Genomic DNA, 15,606 nt, shown 5'->3' with positions numbered 1-15,606 from the left:
TGTCTCTACTAAAAACGCAAAAATCAGCCGTGTGTGGTGGCACACACCTATAATCCCAGCTACTAGGGAGGCTGAGACAGGAGAATTACTTGAACCTGGAAGGCGAAGTTTGCAGTCAGTGAACTGAGATCATGCCACTGGACCTCGGCCCAGGTGACAGAGCAAGACTCTGTCTCAAAAAAAAAAAAAAAAAAAAAAAAAAAAAAAGGAAAAGACAGGTTAATCTCAAAACATCAAGGATTCAAGAGACTCTGTTCCTCATTCTGGCCTTTACTCACTAACCTAGGCCTCAGAATCCTCATCTCCTTCTTCTTCAAGGACATAATGTAGTATAGTTGACTAAAGTATACAGATTACATGAAGTTTATTATTTAAAAAAGTCTGTCTAAAATAAAATTTGTTATTTTATTTCTATTTTATGAAAACTATTTTTACTTATAAATTCTCACAAACAATAGTATGACTAGCCTTAGGCAAATATATATGTATATATATTTGCCTCTCCCTAGGATTGGTCAAGGAATTGACACTATTTTACGTTGCTTTGTAATAGAAGAAACCGCAAATATAAATGTTGCCATTTCAGACTATTAAGTCAAATGAGTCACTAATCAAGCACAAATCCCTTTAGGAGAGTAATCCTTACAGATGTACAATTCTAAAACATATTCCAACAGAATAAGTAATTTTTTTAAGGCTAGAAACTAAGTATTGGTTGTCGGGTTTTTTTGTTTTGTTTGTTTGTTTTGAGACAGAGTCATGCTCTATCTCCCAGGATAGAGTTCAGTGGTTTGATCTCGGCTCACTGCAACCTCTACCTCCTGAGTTCAAGCGATTCTCTGCCTCAGCCTCCCGAGTAGCTGGGATTACAGGCGCCTGCCACCACACCCGGCTAATTTTTGTATTTTTAGTAGAGGCGGGGTTCCACCATCTTGGCCAGGCTGGTCTTGAACTCCTGACCTTGTGATCCACCTGCCTCGGCCTCCCAAATTGCTGGCATTACAGGCATGAGCCACAACACCTGGCCTTGTTTGTTTTTTTTTTGAGACAGGTTCTCACTCTGTCACCCAGGCTGGAGTACACTGGCAGAATCATGGGTCACTGCAGCCTTGACTTCCTGGGCTCAAGCAATCCTCCTGCCTCAGCCACCACACTCAGCTAATTTTTGTACTTTTTGTAGAGATGGGGTTTTGCCATGTTGCCCAGGCTGGTCTCAAACTCCTGGGCTCAAGGGATCCACTTGCCTCAGCCTCCCCAAGTGCAGGGATTACAGGTGTCAGCCATTGCACCTGGCCAGAATAAGTATTCTTTATAGTTTATCTCCATAATGACTGTGAAATGTGTGCAGATCAATTCTGGAAACCAGACTCACCTCCAGATAGTTCTGTTGTGACTGTTTTGAATGTCTCAAGTGGGCACCAAAGTCCAAGGGTGCTGATAGGGTTTCTGAATTTTCTGGACAGAACTGAGATCCAAAGAGGAACTGGGAATCACTGAGACTGGAATAATCATTTTGATTATTATTCCAGTTGGATGACTTCTTGTTCCTGAAATTTAGCAAAAAAAAGTGTATCAAATAGACAAATATCCTGAACAAATGAAATCATAGTTCACAGCTGTCCATTTCAGAACATTTTGGGCAGAATGATAGCTTGTTCTGACCTTCAAGTCCCCTGTATATTGTCAGTACAATGAAACACAAGGAAATTCTGAATACCACACATTTTTATTACTATCTGGGAACAACCAGATGGAAACTCAAACAGAAAGGATTGACATCATCATTCTTTGTATAACAGCATTCTGGGCTACAACACCATATTGGAAATTACAGTTCATAAAATTGTAGAGATTAAAAGAATGTTATCATTTTATTTTATTGTTTTGAGACAGGATCCTACTCTGTCGCCCAGGCTGGAGTGCAGTGGCATGATCTCGGCTCACTGCAGCCTCAGCCTCCTGGGTAGCTAGGACTACAGGTATGTGCTACCACACCAGGCTAATTTTTGTATTTATAGTTGAGATGGGGTTTCACCATGTTGACCAGGCTGGTCTTGAACTCCTGACCTCAGGTGATTCGCCCATCTCAGCCTCCCAAATTGCTGGGATTACAGGTGTGAGCCACCGTGCAGGGCCAAGAATGTTATCTTTTTTTTTTTTTTTTTGAGACAGAGTCTCACTCTGTTGCCCAGGCTGGCATGCAGTGGTGCAATCTTGGCCCACTGCAACCTCCACCTCCCGGGTTCAAGCCATTCTCCTGCCTCAGCCTCCTGAGTAGCTGGGATTACAGGCATCTGCCACCACATGTGGTCAATTTTTGTATTTTTAATAGAGATGGGGTTTCACCATGTTGGCCAGGCTGGTCTCTCGAACTCCTGACCTCAGGTAATCTGCTCACCTCAGGCTCCCAAAGTGCTGGGATGACAGTCATGAGCCATTGCACCCAGCCAAGAATGTTATCTTTTTAAAAGATCAATCTGTTCATCATTAAAATAGATAAATAAAATAAGGTACATGCATTAGCTGATTCAGCAGCCAGAAGCATTAAGTTAGATTTATATATAATCGGCCGGGTGCGGTGGCTCACGCCTGTAATCCCAGCACTTTGGGAGGCCGAGGAGGGTGGATCATGAGGTCAGGAGATCGAGACCATCCTGGCTAACATGGTGAAACCCCATCTCTACTAAAAAATACAAAAAAATTAGCCAGGCCTGATGGTGGGTGCCTGTAATCCCAGCTACTTGGGAGGCTGAGACAGGAGAATGGCATGAACCCAGGAGGCGGAGCTTGTAGTCAGCCAAATTTGCACCACTGCACTCCAGCCTGGGCAACAGAGTAAGACTCCTCAAAAAAAAAAAAAAAAGATTTATATATAATCACATGGGATTTTGAGACTTCTCAAAAACATAGTTTTGAGTACAAGAAAAGGTAAAAATTGGATGAACTTGGCCAGGCACGGTGGCTCACGCCTGTAATCCTAGCTAGCACTTTGGGAGGCGAGGTGGGCAGATCACAAGGTTAGGAGTTCGAGACCAGCCTGACCAACATGGTGAAACCCTGTCTCTACTAAAAATACAAAAATTAGCTGGGTATGGTGGCAGACACCTGTAATCCCAGCTACTTGGGAGGCTGAGGCAGAAGAATCACTGGAACCCGGGAGGCAGAGGTTGCAGTGAGCCGAGATTGTGCCACTGCACTCCAGCCTGGGTGATACAGTGAGACTCAGTCTCAAAAAAAAAAAAAGAATTAACTCTATTACAGTTCATTTATGTAAATTTTTAAACCTACATTATACACACCAAACAATTATGTAACTGAGTGTATAGAAAGTAATTGGAGGGTACACATTAATTTTAGTGTGTGTGCCTACAGGGAAGGAACAGAGCAGGGCTGAAGGGAGAGAAGGAGGCATAATAAAACAATCACAGATAGGCCTTGTTATGGACTGGATGTGTCCCCCACAAATTCATATGTTGCTATGATGGTATCATTGTAACAACCCTGATGTGATAGTATTTGGAGATGGGTCCTTAAGGAGGTAATGAGGGTTAGATGAAGTCATGAAGGTAGGGTTCTTATGATAGGATTGGTGTCCTTATAAAAAGGGACACCAGAGCCTGGGCGTGGTGGCTCATGCCTGTAATCCTAGCACTTTGGGAGGCCGAGGTGGGCAGACTACCTGAGCTCAGGAGTTCGAGACCAGCCTGGGCAACACTGTGAAATCTCATCTCTACTAAAATTAAAAAAAAAAAATTAGCTGGGCATGGCGGTGTGTGCCTGTACAGTCCCACCTAATCAGGAGGCTGAGGCAGGAGAATCACTTGAACCAGGGAGCTGGAGGTTGCAGTGAGATAAGATTGTGCCACACTGCACTCCAGCCTGGTGAGAGAGTGACTCCGTCAAAAAAACCAAAAAAAAAAAAAAAAAAAAAACAACAACAAAAGACATCTGTGTAACAATTTGTGTTACTTAACTGTTGCATAACCTGAGAAAGCATGCTTTTCCTTTTTTTTCTCAGCCCCGAACAGAGTTTGACCCACATATTTATTGACAACAAGCCAGTGATAAGCATTATTTCTATAGATTATAGATTAACTAAAAGTATTCCTTATGGGAAACAAAGGGATGGGCCGAAACAAATGGATGGGCTCTGGCTAGTTATCTGCAGCAGGAACATGTCCTTAAGGTACGGATTGCTCATGCTATTGTTTGTGGTTTAGGAATGCCTGGAAGTGGTTTTCCGCCCTCGGTGGGCCAAGTGTTCCTTGCCCTCATTCTGGTAAACCCACAACCTTCAGCATGGGCATCATGGCCATAATGAACATGTCACAGTGCTGCAGAGATTTTGTTTATGGCCAGTTTTGGGGCCTGTTTATGGCCAGATTTGGGGGCCTGTTCCCAACATGTCCCCCTTTTTTGTTTTGCAAAACGATAAAAGCAAAGGTAGCTTTGTCATGGTGAGCTACTTCTCGCAGGAGTTGGGATCTGCATCTGCAGACTATACAAAGACAAACAACACAGATTAAAAGCACAATCATCATTGAAATCACAGGGCCTCCAAGTGTCTTTATCTATTTCAATGGGTTAATAGCTGCTAATCTGTCTGATGCTCCTTCAAACCCTCCAGTTCCTGGCATTAAGGTCAGGTGTGCCTGGGATGCTTTAAATATTTGTTCTTTTAATTTTGCAACATCCAAAGACAAGTTTGTAGAGTGTCCTTCTAGATGCTTTTTTATTCTTTTCCAAATTTCAATCTTATTTAAGAGCCATTAATAGTTTCCACAAATCCTTATGTTTAGCTCCTACAGCAGGCCATAACATTTGAGGGTGAAGTGCCACTATACTGCCATGTTTCCAGATAACAGGAACTCTTGCCATATTTCTTACAATTTCTACCATCTGACCGTTTTGTTTAAACCAGCTGAACATAGTGTGGCCGTGGCACGCTGACTGAGAGGTGCAATTCAAGCTTGGTCCCTTAGGGGACCAATCAATAACGATTCCACAGGAATCGTTACGCAGCACCTGTGCCTATTCTGCAATGCAATCTTCCCAAACAAGTACATTCATTATTTCTGACCAGGTCCAATTCTGTTTACAAATAGGTTTTTGAGGGCTGTATGCCTCAATTATAGGAGCAGATTTATTATGGTAAATACTGAGACCAGAAAGCATGTGTAAATGTGTCATAGAGTCATTACATCCAGGCGTTATTGCCAGCCAAGATTGATAAATACGCCCAATAAATATAATTGTTCTCTGTGTCAGCCCTTGTTGAAGGAATACTCATGGCAATGGTGATCACCGCTATCATAACTATCATTAAATTACAATTGTGACTGGTTGTCCTGCTTTCCTAAGGTTTTCTTCCACCATCTGTGACAGCTTCTTGATCTGTCCCCAGGTAGGTGGCTGTGTTCGATGGGTGTTGCTTGTGACAGTTGGGGTTCTCCTCAGCATCAGTCTCAACATGGCTGCAACTGGTGGGTCTTTGGGATCCTCCCAAAACCTTTTCCTGGGTATCTGGCTCATAGTTAAGGCTTTAAATGTCTTGATGGCACCCAAATTGGCTGTTGATTCCGTCTTGGAGAAACACAAGCATAACCACTACCCCAAGTTATTATTTTACCTATTTACCAACTTTTTGTTATCAGATCTCTCCACCAAACCAGTTGTTCTGCTTCTGTCTTTGTAGCTGGTTTCTGTAGATGCTGTTCAGCTGCTGATAGCATCTGGCCTTTAGGCAGGCTCCAAAAATTTAAAGTCAATCATGCTAGATTCAATTGTATATGGGGTGTCCTGTAGTCCCTGTTTCTCCCCTTTTGCTTTTGCCACTACTGTTTCAGGGAGAGATTCATCCTTTCTACTATGGCTTGTCCTTGAGAATTATATGGAATGTCAGTAATGTGTTTAATATTCCATAGAGAGAAAAATGTAGCTAGAGCTTGGCTAGTACAGCCTGGGGCATTATCTGTTTTAATAGAAGCTGGAATATCCATCACTGCAAAACACTGCAAAAGGTGACATTTAACACAGGCAGAAGACTCTCCTGATTGGCATGTAGCCCAAAGTAAGAAAAGGTGTCCACGCATACATGTACATAAGCTAGTCTCCCAAACGACGGAACATGTGTGACATCCATTTGCCAAAGAGAATTAGGTTCCAATCCTTGAGGATTAATTCCTCCTGTAAAAGATGAGGAATGCACCATTTGGCAAGTTGGGCATCGCTGGATGATAGCTTTAGCTTCTTTCCAGGTAATGCTGTATCTGCGTTTGAGACCAGAGGCATTAACAAGGGTTAAATTGTGAAAATGTTTGGCATTAGATATTGCAGTAGCAACTAGGCAATCAGCCATTTGATTTCCTTCAGTTAAAGGTCCTGGAAGAGGCATATGAGCCCTAATATGAGTAATGTAAAAAGGGTGCATTCTACTCCTAACTGCTGTTTGCAATTGGGCAAATGAAGTCATCAGTTGTTCATCTGTATGAAATCATTAACTGCACATTTTCAATTAATTGTGTGGAATGAACCATGAAGAATCCAAAATCACATTAATAGGCATATCAAAAACAGTCAATACCTCAATTACAGCTACAAGCTCCACTTTTTGAGCTGAAGTATAAGGCATCTGAAAAACTTTACCTTTCAAGCCAGAATAAGAAGCTTTACCATTTGTAGACCCATCTGTAAAAACATTCTCAGCACCTTCAATTGGTTTAAATTTCGTTATTTTAGGGAGAATCCAATTAGTTAATTTCAAAAATGGAAACAGTTTTGTTTTAGGAAAATGATTATCGAGAATACTCACAAAGTCAGCTAAATGGGTTTGCCAAGTAAGACTATTTATAAAAGCTTGCTGTATTTGTGCCTTCGTGAGAGGGACAATAATTTTTCCAAGATCATATCCATGTAATTTAACAATCCAAGTTCTCCCATTTCCTATCATAGTAGCGATTTGATCCAAATAAGAAGTTAGAGTCTGTGAATTAGTATTTGGAAGAAAAAGCCATTCTACTAAGTCCTGCTGTTGGGCAATAACATCAGTAGGTGAATGATGAGCTGGAAAAATTAGCAAATCTAGAGTCTTCTCTGTATCTATTCTATTTATTTGAGCCTTATGGACTTGCTTTTCAATCAGCTGTAACTCTGCCTCAGCCTCCTTTGTTAATTGTTGAGGGCTAGTGAGACTAGGACCTCCTCTAAAGATAGAAAATAGATTACTCATGGCATAGGTAGGAATGCCTAGAACAGGTTGTATCCAATTAATGTCCCCTAGTAATTTTTGAAAGTCATTTTATGTTTTCAATTGATCCCTACATATGGTTACTTTCTGTGGCACAATAGTAGTGTCATTTACCAAGGTCGCCAAGTAGGAGTAAGGAGTATTAGTCTGAATTTTGTCAGAAGCTATAAATAAACCAGTGTGAGAAATCGAATTTTGCAAGTGGTCATAACATTGGAGCAATATTTCTTGAGTGGGGGCAGTACAAAATATATCATCCATATAATGAATAATGTAACACTGTGAAAATTTTTTACAAGTAGGTTCAATTGCTTGCCCTACATAAGTCCGGCAAATTGTTGGACTGTTTAACATGACTTGTGACAACACTTTCCAGTGAAAATGCTTAGCAGGCTGCAGGTTGTTTACTGCAGGAATTGTAAATGCAAACCATTCACAGTCTTGCTCAGCTAAGGGGTAGTAAAGAAACAGTCTTTTAAATCTATGACTATTAAAGGCCAGTTTTTCGGAATCATAGCAGGAGAAGGCAATCCTGGCTGTAATGTCCCCATAGGTCGTGTAACTGAATTAATCAGTTAACATTCTCCATTTACCTGATTTTTTCTTAATAACAAAGACTGGAGAATTCCAAAGGGAAAATGTTGGAGCTATGTGTCCTTTTTCTAATTGTTCAGTAAGTAAGTACTCTAAAGCCTCCAGTTTCTCTTTACTTAGCAGCCATTGTTCTATCAAAATTGGCTTATCTGTTAACCATTTTAAAGGTATAGGTTCTTGAGGCTTAACAATGTCCGCCATCAAAAATGATATCCTAAACCTTGGCAGGAACTTTGTCTTTCCACTTGAAGCGGTTCCTTCAAACCTTGCAAATTTTCTCCTAGTCCCATACCAGGGACATACCCTATTTCATGCATCATATGTTGACTTTGAGGGCTGTAAAACTGCTCAGGAATTAGAACTTGTGCTCCCCATCGTTGTAATAAATCTCTTCCCCATAAATTTATAGGTACAGAAGTTATAATTGGTTGAATAGTCCCAGGTTGTCCATCAGGCCCTTCACAATGCAAAATATAACTACTTTGATATACTTCAGGGGCTTTACCAACTCCAACTATGTTAAATTAAGTGGGTTGAATTGGCCATGTTGACGGCCATGCTGAAGAGAAATGATTGAAATGTCCATTCCTGTATCTACTAAACCTTTAAATTTCTTTCCCTGAATAGTTATTTCACAGGTATGATGTTTATCAGTAATTTGATTCACCCAATAAGCTGCTTTGCCTTATCTGTGCTTCCAAATAATCCTGTTCATTTAATTTCACTTTCCCCATTTCTACATACGGCACAATCAGAAGTTGTGCTATGCGCTCTCCTGGCTCTGCTTTCCAGGGAACAGAAGTAGATATAACAATTTGAATTTCCCCATTGTAATCTGAATCAATGACTCCTGTTTGTACTTGCACTCCTTTTAAATTTAAAGTAGATCTACCTGGAAGTAATCCTATCATCACCGCTGGCAAGGGTCCACAGACCCGTTGGAACTTTTGCGGGGTTTCCCCAGGCAGAAGGCTCACAGCTTTTGTGCAGCATAAAACTGAGAGGTGAAGCCAGCTGGACTTCCTGGGTCTAGTGGGGACTTGGGAGAACTTTTCTGTCTAGCTAGAGGATTGTAAATGCACCAATCAGTGCTCTGTGTCTAGCTAAAGGACTGTAAATGCAGCAATCAGCACTCTGTAAAAACGCACCAATCAGCGCTATGTGTCTAGCTAAAGGATTGTAAACGCACCAATCAGCACTCTGTAAAAACGCACCAATCAGCACTCTGTGTCTAGCTATAGGATTGTAAATGCACCAATCAGCACTCTGTAAAATGGCCCAATCAGCACTCTGTAAAATGGACCAGTCATCTCTCTGTAAAATGGACCAATCAGCAGGATGTGGGTAGGGCCAAATAAGGGAGTAAAAGCTGGCCACCCCAGCCAGCAAAGGCAACCCGCTCAGGTCTCCTTCCACACTGTGGAAACTTTGTTCTTTTGCTCTTCACAATAAATCTTGCTGCTGCTCACTCTTTGGGTCCACACCACCTTTAAGAGCTGTGACACTCGCCACAAAGATCCATGGCTTCACTCCTGAAGTCAGCAAGACCACAAACCCACTGGAAGGAAGAAACTCCAGAGACATCTAAACGTCTGAAGGAACAAACTCCGGACATACCATCTTTAAGAGCTGTAACACTCATCGCGAAGGTCCACAGCTTCATTCCTGAAGTCTGCGAGACCAAGAACCCACTGGAAGGAATACATTCTGGACACATTTTGGCGCCCAATGTGGGGCCTTCACCAAGCAGTGAGTACCATCAGACCCCTTTCGCTTGCTATTCTGTTCTATTTTTCCTTAGAATTCAGGGGCTAAATACCGGGCACCTGTCGGCCAGTTAAAAGTGACTAGCGTGGCCGCTGGACTAAAGACATGGCTGTCAGGCTTTCTAGGAAAGGGCTCTCTAACAACCCCTGACTCTTCGGAGTGGAGAGCATTGGTTTGCCTGGAACCAGCTTCTGCTTTTCCTGTACTTCCGGGCTGAGATAAAGGTTGACAGAGAGGAAAGCCATTCAGTTCTGGGGTCCCGACAACAAGTTGGTTGACCCTGCGGCTGTGAGTAGAACTCTCAAAGTCATGTCACCCAAGGGAGACTCACCCATCTATCCTATCTATCCTGACACTTGCCTCCTGGGTCCTAATGCTTGTCAGATAAACTTTCTCTCACCTCTCTTCTCCGAGGCTAGTCCTGCTTCTAAAAACCACTCCTTGTCTGGTGCTTTTCTAGTTTCTCTTGTAATAATGATTTCTAGTATAAACTCCAGGACTCTATTCCCTTCTTTAGGCACCTGGGCTCACCAATAAGAAAGACATAATTTTTGCCCAAAGCTCCGTCGTAGGGGGGACTATCTGGAATTTTAGGATCCCTCCTCAGACTAGCAGGCCTAACAAAAGCTATTCCTGAAGCTAGGATATGGGGAGCTTCAGAAATGATATCCTTCCTATTCAAGTGAGGATAAAAGGTGTCACTCTACCAACCCTGGAGATCCCTCCCCTCCCTCAGGGTATGGCCCTCCATTTCATTTTGGGGGCATAACATCTTTATAGGACGGGGCAAAGTCCCAGTACTAACAGGAGAATGCTTAGGACTCTAACAGGTTTTCAAGAATGCATTGGTAAGGGCCACTAAATCTGATTTTTCTCAGTCCGCTTTGTGATCTAGGAAGACAGGCAAGGGTGCAGGTTTTCGAGAATGTGTCAGTAAGGGCCACTAAATCTGATCTTCCTCAGTCCTCCTTGTGGTCTAGGAGGAAAACTACTGTTTCTGCTGCTGCGTCGGTGAGTGCAATATTCCAATCAGCAGGGTCCAGGGACCATTGGGGGTTCTTGGACTGGGGGTAGAAACAAACAAACCAAAACCATGGGCGGTTTTGTCTTTCAGATGGGAAACACTCAGGCATCAACAGGCTCAGCCCTGAAATGCATCCTAAGCCATTGGGACCAATTTGACCTGCAAACCCTGAAAAAGTGGTGGCTCATTTTTTTCTGCACTATGGCCTGGCCCCGATATTCTCTGATGGGGAAAAATGGCCATCTGAGGGAAGTATAAATTACAATACTATCCTGCAGCTTAACCTTTTCTGTAAGAGTGAAGGCAAATGGAGTGAAATATCTTATGTCCAAGCTTTCTTTTCATTGAAGGAGAATACACAACTATGCAAAGCTTGCAATTTACATCCCACAGGAGGGCCTCTCAGCTTACCTCCATATCCTAGCCTCCCTATAGCTCCCCTTCCTATTAATGAGAAGCCTCCTTTAATCTCCCCTGCCCAGAAGAAAACAAGCAAAGAAATCTCCAAAGGACCACAAAAACCCCCAGGTTATCGGTTACGTCCCCTTCAAGCTGTAGGGGGAGGGGAATTTGGCCCAACCCAGGTACATGTCCACTTCTCCCTCTCTGATTTAAAGCAGATCAAGGTAGATCTGGGGAAGATTTCAGATGATCCTGATAGGTATATAGATGTCCTACAGGGTTTAGGGCAGACCCTCGATCTCTCTTGGAGAGATGTCATGCTATTGTTAGATCAAACCCTGGCCTTTAATGAAAAGAATGCGGCTTTAGCTGCAGCCCAAGAGTTTGGAGATACCTGGTATCTTAGTGAAGTAAATGACAGAATGACAGCTGAAGAAAGGGACAAATTCCCTACCGGTCAGCAAGCTATCCCCAGTATGGATCCCCACTGGGACCTTGACTCAGATCATGGGGACTGGAATCACAAACATCTGTTGACCTGTGTTCTAGAAGGACTAAGGAGAATTAGGAAAAAGCCCATGAATTATTCAATGATGTCCACCATAACTCAGGGAAAGGAAGAAAATCCTTCTGCCTTCCTCGCGCGGTTACGGGAAGCCTTAAGAAAATATACTCCCCTGTCACCTGACTCACTCGAGGGTCAATTGATCCTAAAAGATAAGTTTATTACCCAATCAGTTGCAGATATCAGGAGAAAGTTCCAAAAGTGAGCCCTGGGCCCTGAACAAAATCTGGAGGCATTATTAAACCTGGCTACCTCGGTGTAGGGACCAAGAGGAACAGGCCCAAAAGGAAAAGTGAGATCAGAGAAAGGCTGCAGCCTTAGTCATGGCACTCAGACAAACCAACCTTGGTGGTTCAGAGAGGACAGAAAATGGAGCATGCCAATTACCTGGTAGGGCTTGTTACCAGTGTGGTTTGCAAGGACACTTTAAAAGAGTGTCCAATGAGAAACGAGCTGCCCCTTCACTTATGTCCATTATGCCAAGGCAATCACTGGAAGGTGCACTACCCCAGAGGACAAAGGTCCTCTGGGCCACAAGCCCCCAACCAGATGATCCAACAACAGGACTGAGGGTGCCCGGGGCAAGCGCCAGCTCATGTCATCACCCTCACTGAGCCCTGGGTATGTATAACCATCGAGGGCCAGGAAATTGACTTCCTCCTGAACACCGGCACGGCCTTCTCAGTGTTAATCTCCTGTCCCGGGCGACTGTCCTCAAGGTCTGTTACCATCCAAGGAGTACTGGGACAGCCTGTAACCAGGTATTTCTCCCACCTTCTCAGTTGTAATTGGGAGACTTTGCTCTTTTCACATGTCTTTCTTGTTGTGCCTGAAAGTCCCACACCCTTATTAGGGAGGGATATATTAGCCAAAGCTGGAGCTATTATCTACATGAATATGGGGGAATAAGTTACCCATTTGTTGTCCCCTACCGGTGGAGGGAATCAACCCTGAAGTTTGGGCATTGGAAGGAACAAACTCAAGCTCCAGCCTTAAGCCTTCCCACAGGACAAAACTTTTCTTTTTTTTTTTTTGAGACGGAGTCTCACTCTGTCACCCAGGCTGGGATGCGATGGCGCAATCTCTGCTCACTGCAACCTCTGCCTCCTGGGTTCAAGTGATTCTCCTGCCTCAGCCTCCTGAGTGGCTGGGATTACAGGCACCCACCACCATGCCCAGCTAATTTTTTATTTTTAGTAGAGACGGGGTTTCACCATGTTGGTCAGGCTGGTCTTGAACTCCTGACCTGATGATCTGCCCGCCTCAGCCTCCCAAAGTGCTGGGATTACAGGCGTGAGCCACTGCGCCCAGCCAAAACTTCTCTTTATACATCACAGAGAGAGCAGGGATAGCTCTTGGAGTCCTTACTCAGACCCGCAGGACAACCCCATAACCAGTGGCATACCTAAATAAAGAAACTGATGTAGTAGCAAAAGGCTGGCCTCACTGTTTACGGGTAGTTGCGGCAGTGGCCGTCTTAGTGACAGAGGCTATCAAAATAATACAAGGAAAGAATCTCACTGTCTGGACTACTCATGTAAATGGCATACTAGGTGTCAAAGGAAGTTTATCGCTATCAGACAACTGCCTACTTAGATACCAGGTGCTACTCCTTGAGGGAATGGCCCTTCAAATACATACATGCGTAGCCCTCAACCCTGCCACTTTTCTCCCAGAGGATGGGGAACCAATCAAGTGTGACTGCCAACAAATTATAGTCCAGACTTATGCCGCTCAAGATGATATCTTAGAAGTCCCCTTAGCTAATCCTGACCTTAACCTATATACCGATGGAAGTTCATTTGTGGAGAATGGGATACGAAGGGCAGGTTATGCCATAGTTAGTGATGTAACCATACTTGAAAGTAAGCCTCTTCCCCCAGGGACCAGCGCCCAGTTAGCAGAACTAGTGGCACTTACCAGAGCCTTAGAACTGGGAAAAAGAAAAAGAATAAATGTGTATACAGATAGCAAGTATGGTTATCTAATCCTACATGCCCATGCTGCAATATAGAAAGAAAGGGAGTTCCTAACCTCTGGGAAGAACCCCCATTAAATACCACAAGGAAATTATGGAGTTATTGCACACAGTGCAAAAACCCAAGGAGGTGGCAGTCTTACACTGCCAAAGCCATCAGAAAGGTGAGGGAGAAAAGGCAGAAGGAAACCGTCAGGCAGATGCTGAGGCCAAAATTGCTGCCAGGTGGAACCTCCCATTAGAAATACCTACGGAAGGATCCTTGGTATGGAACAACTCCCTCCACGAGATTAAGCCCCAGTATTCCCCGACTGAAACAGAATGGGGACTTTCATGGGGGCATAGTTTTCTCCCCTCGGGGTGGTTAACAACAGAAGAAGGAAAGGTACTTATGCCTAAAGCCAGACACCAGAAAATACTTAAAACGCTCCACCAAACTTTTCATATGGGTATTGAAAACACTCATCAAATGGCCAAATCCCTATCTACAGGGCCAAATCTCTTCCGGGCCATCCAACAGGTAGTCAAAGCCTGTGAGGTGTGCCAAAGGAAGAATCCTTTGGTCCATCGTAAGGTCCCTTTGGGGGAACAAAGAATAGGTCACTATCCTGGAGAGGACTGGCAGTTAGACTTCACCCATATCCCTAAGTCAAACGGATTTCAATACTTGTTGGTCTGTGTTGATACCTTTACAAATTGGATAGATGCTTTTCCCTGCAAGACAGAGAAGGCTCAGGAAGCAATTAAAGTCCTAATACATGAAATAATTTCTAGATTTGGGCTTCCCCAAAGCTTACAGACCAACAATGGTCCGGCTTTTTTTTTTTTGAGACGGAGTCTCACTCTCTCTCCCAGGCTGGAGTGCAGTGGCGTGATCTCGGCTCACTGCAAGCTCTGCCTCCCGGGTTCGCGCCATTCTCCTGCCTCAGCCTCCCGAGTAGCTGGGACTATAGGTGCCCACGACCACACCCAGCTAATTTTTTTTATTTTTAGTAGAGACGGGGTTTCACCGTGTTAGCCAGGATGGTCTCAATCTCCTGACCTCGTGATCCGCCCGCCTCGGTCTCCCAAAGTGCTGGGATTACAGGCATAAGCCACACACCTGGCCAATGGTCAGGCTTTTAAAGCCATGATAACTCAGGGAATTTCGAGGGCACTAGGGATACAATATCACCTTCACTGTGCCTGGAGGCCACAATCCTCAGGGAAGGTCGAGAAAGCAAATGAAACACTCAAAAAGCACTTAAGGAAACTAACACAAGAAACTCATCTCCCATGGCCTAGTCTTTTGCCCATGGCCTTGTTAAGAATCTGAAATTCTCCTCACAATATGGGGCTCAGTCCATATGAAATGCTGTATGGACAACCTTTTATCACAAATGACCTCCTACTTGATCAGGAAACGGCCAACTTGGTCAAATACATAACTTCTTTGGCAAAATATCAATGAAACCTTAAAAACCTACCTGAAGGATGTCACAGAGAAAAGGGAACAGAGTTGTTTCAACCAGGAGATCTAGTGTTGGTCAAATCTCTCCCATCTACCTCTCCATCTATGGATTATTTGTAGGAAGGACCATACTCGGTAATCCTTTCTAACCCCACTGCAGTTAAGGTGGCAGGAGTGGAATCTTGGATTCACTACAATTGAGTTAAATTTTGGACACCCCCTGCGGAACCTGCAGGACCGTCAGTTCAGGAGTCCCAAGATCACCCAGACCAGCCTCAATAAACTTGCGAACCATTGGAGGACTTGCATCTCCTATTTTGAAAGGAAATATCCCAGACTAAAAAGGCTCCTACCACTGATCCTGAGGAAAAACCCTTTCCTCCTTAAAAAAGATAAGTGAAAACCTACATAATCTTTAATACCTCTCCTTGCCCCTTTAATGGAATCCTTTTACTATTTCATAATATTATTAAGCAGCATACTAACCATACTCTTTACGATAGGACTACATACTATAGCTCCTGCTGGGATGCAAATCCTAATCACATCAACCTTTTTTCTATCTTCCTTCCTTCTGACA

The 15,606-nt window shown here is 43.6% G+C and overlaps 1 protein-coding gene across 8 annotated transcripts in view, besides 1 other annotated feature; it reads right to left on the bottom strand.

Annotated features, from left to right (window-relative positions):
- The window catches only part of IHO1 (interactor of HORMAD1 1), a 66,798-nt gene that overhangs the window by 20,012 nt on the left and 31,180 nt on the right, over positions 1-15,606 (bottom strand). For all 8 annotated transcript variants that reach the window (XM_011533672.3, NM_178173.4, NM_001135197.2 and 5 more), the window contains one exon: positions 1,373-1,547. In XM_011533672.3, coding sequence (XP_011531974.1) covers positions 1,373-1,547 — 175 coding nt within the window. The remainder of the gene's footprint in view (positions 1-1,372; positions 1,548-15,606) is intronic.
- Positions 4,492-4,692: a silencer, noted in NCBI's record as "peak4647 fragment used in MPRA reporter construct". NCBI's record gives its function as "represses an SCP1 promoter by STARR-seq MPRAs in K562 erythroleukemia cells {active_cell/tissue: K562}" and the evidence as "EXISTENCE:reporter gene assay evidence [ECO:0000049][PMID:32103011]".

Source organism: Homo sapiens, chromosome 3 (assembly GCF_000001405.40).
Source record: "Homo sapiens chromosome 3, GRCh38.p14 Primary Assembly".
Taxonomy (NCBI): domain Eukaryota; kingdom Metazoa; phylum Chordata; class Mammalia; order Primates; family Hominidae; genus Homo; species Homo sapiens.
This window is presented reverse-complemented; position numbering and strand designations above follow the sequence as displayed.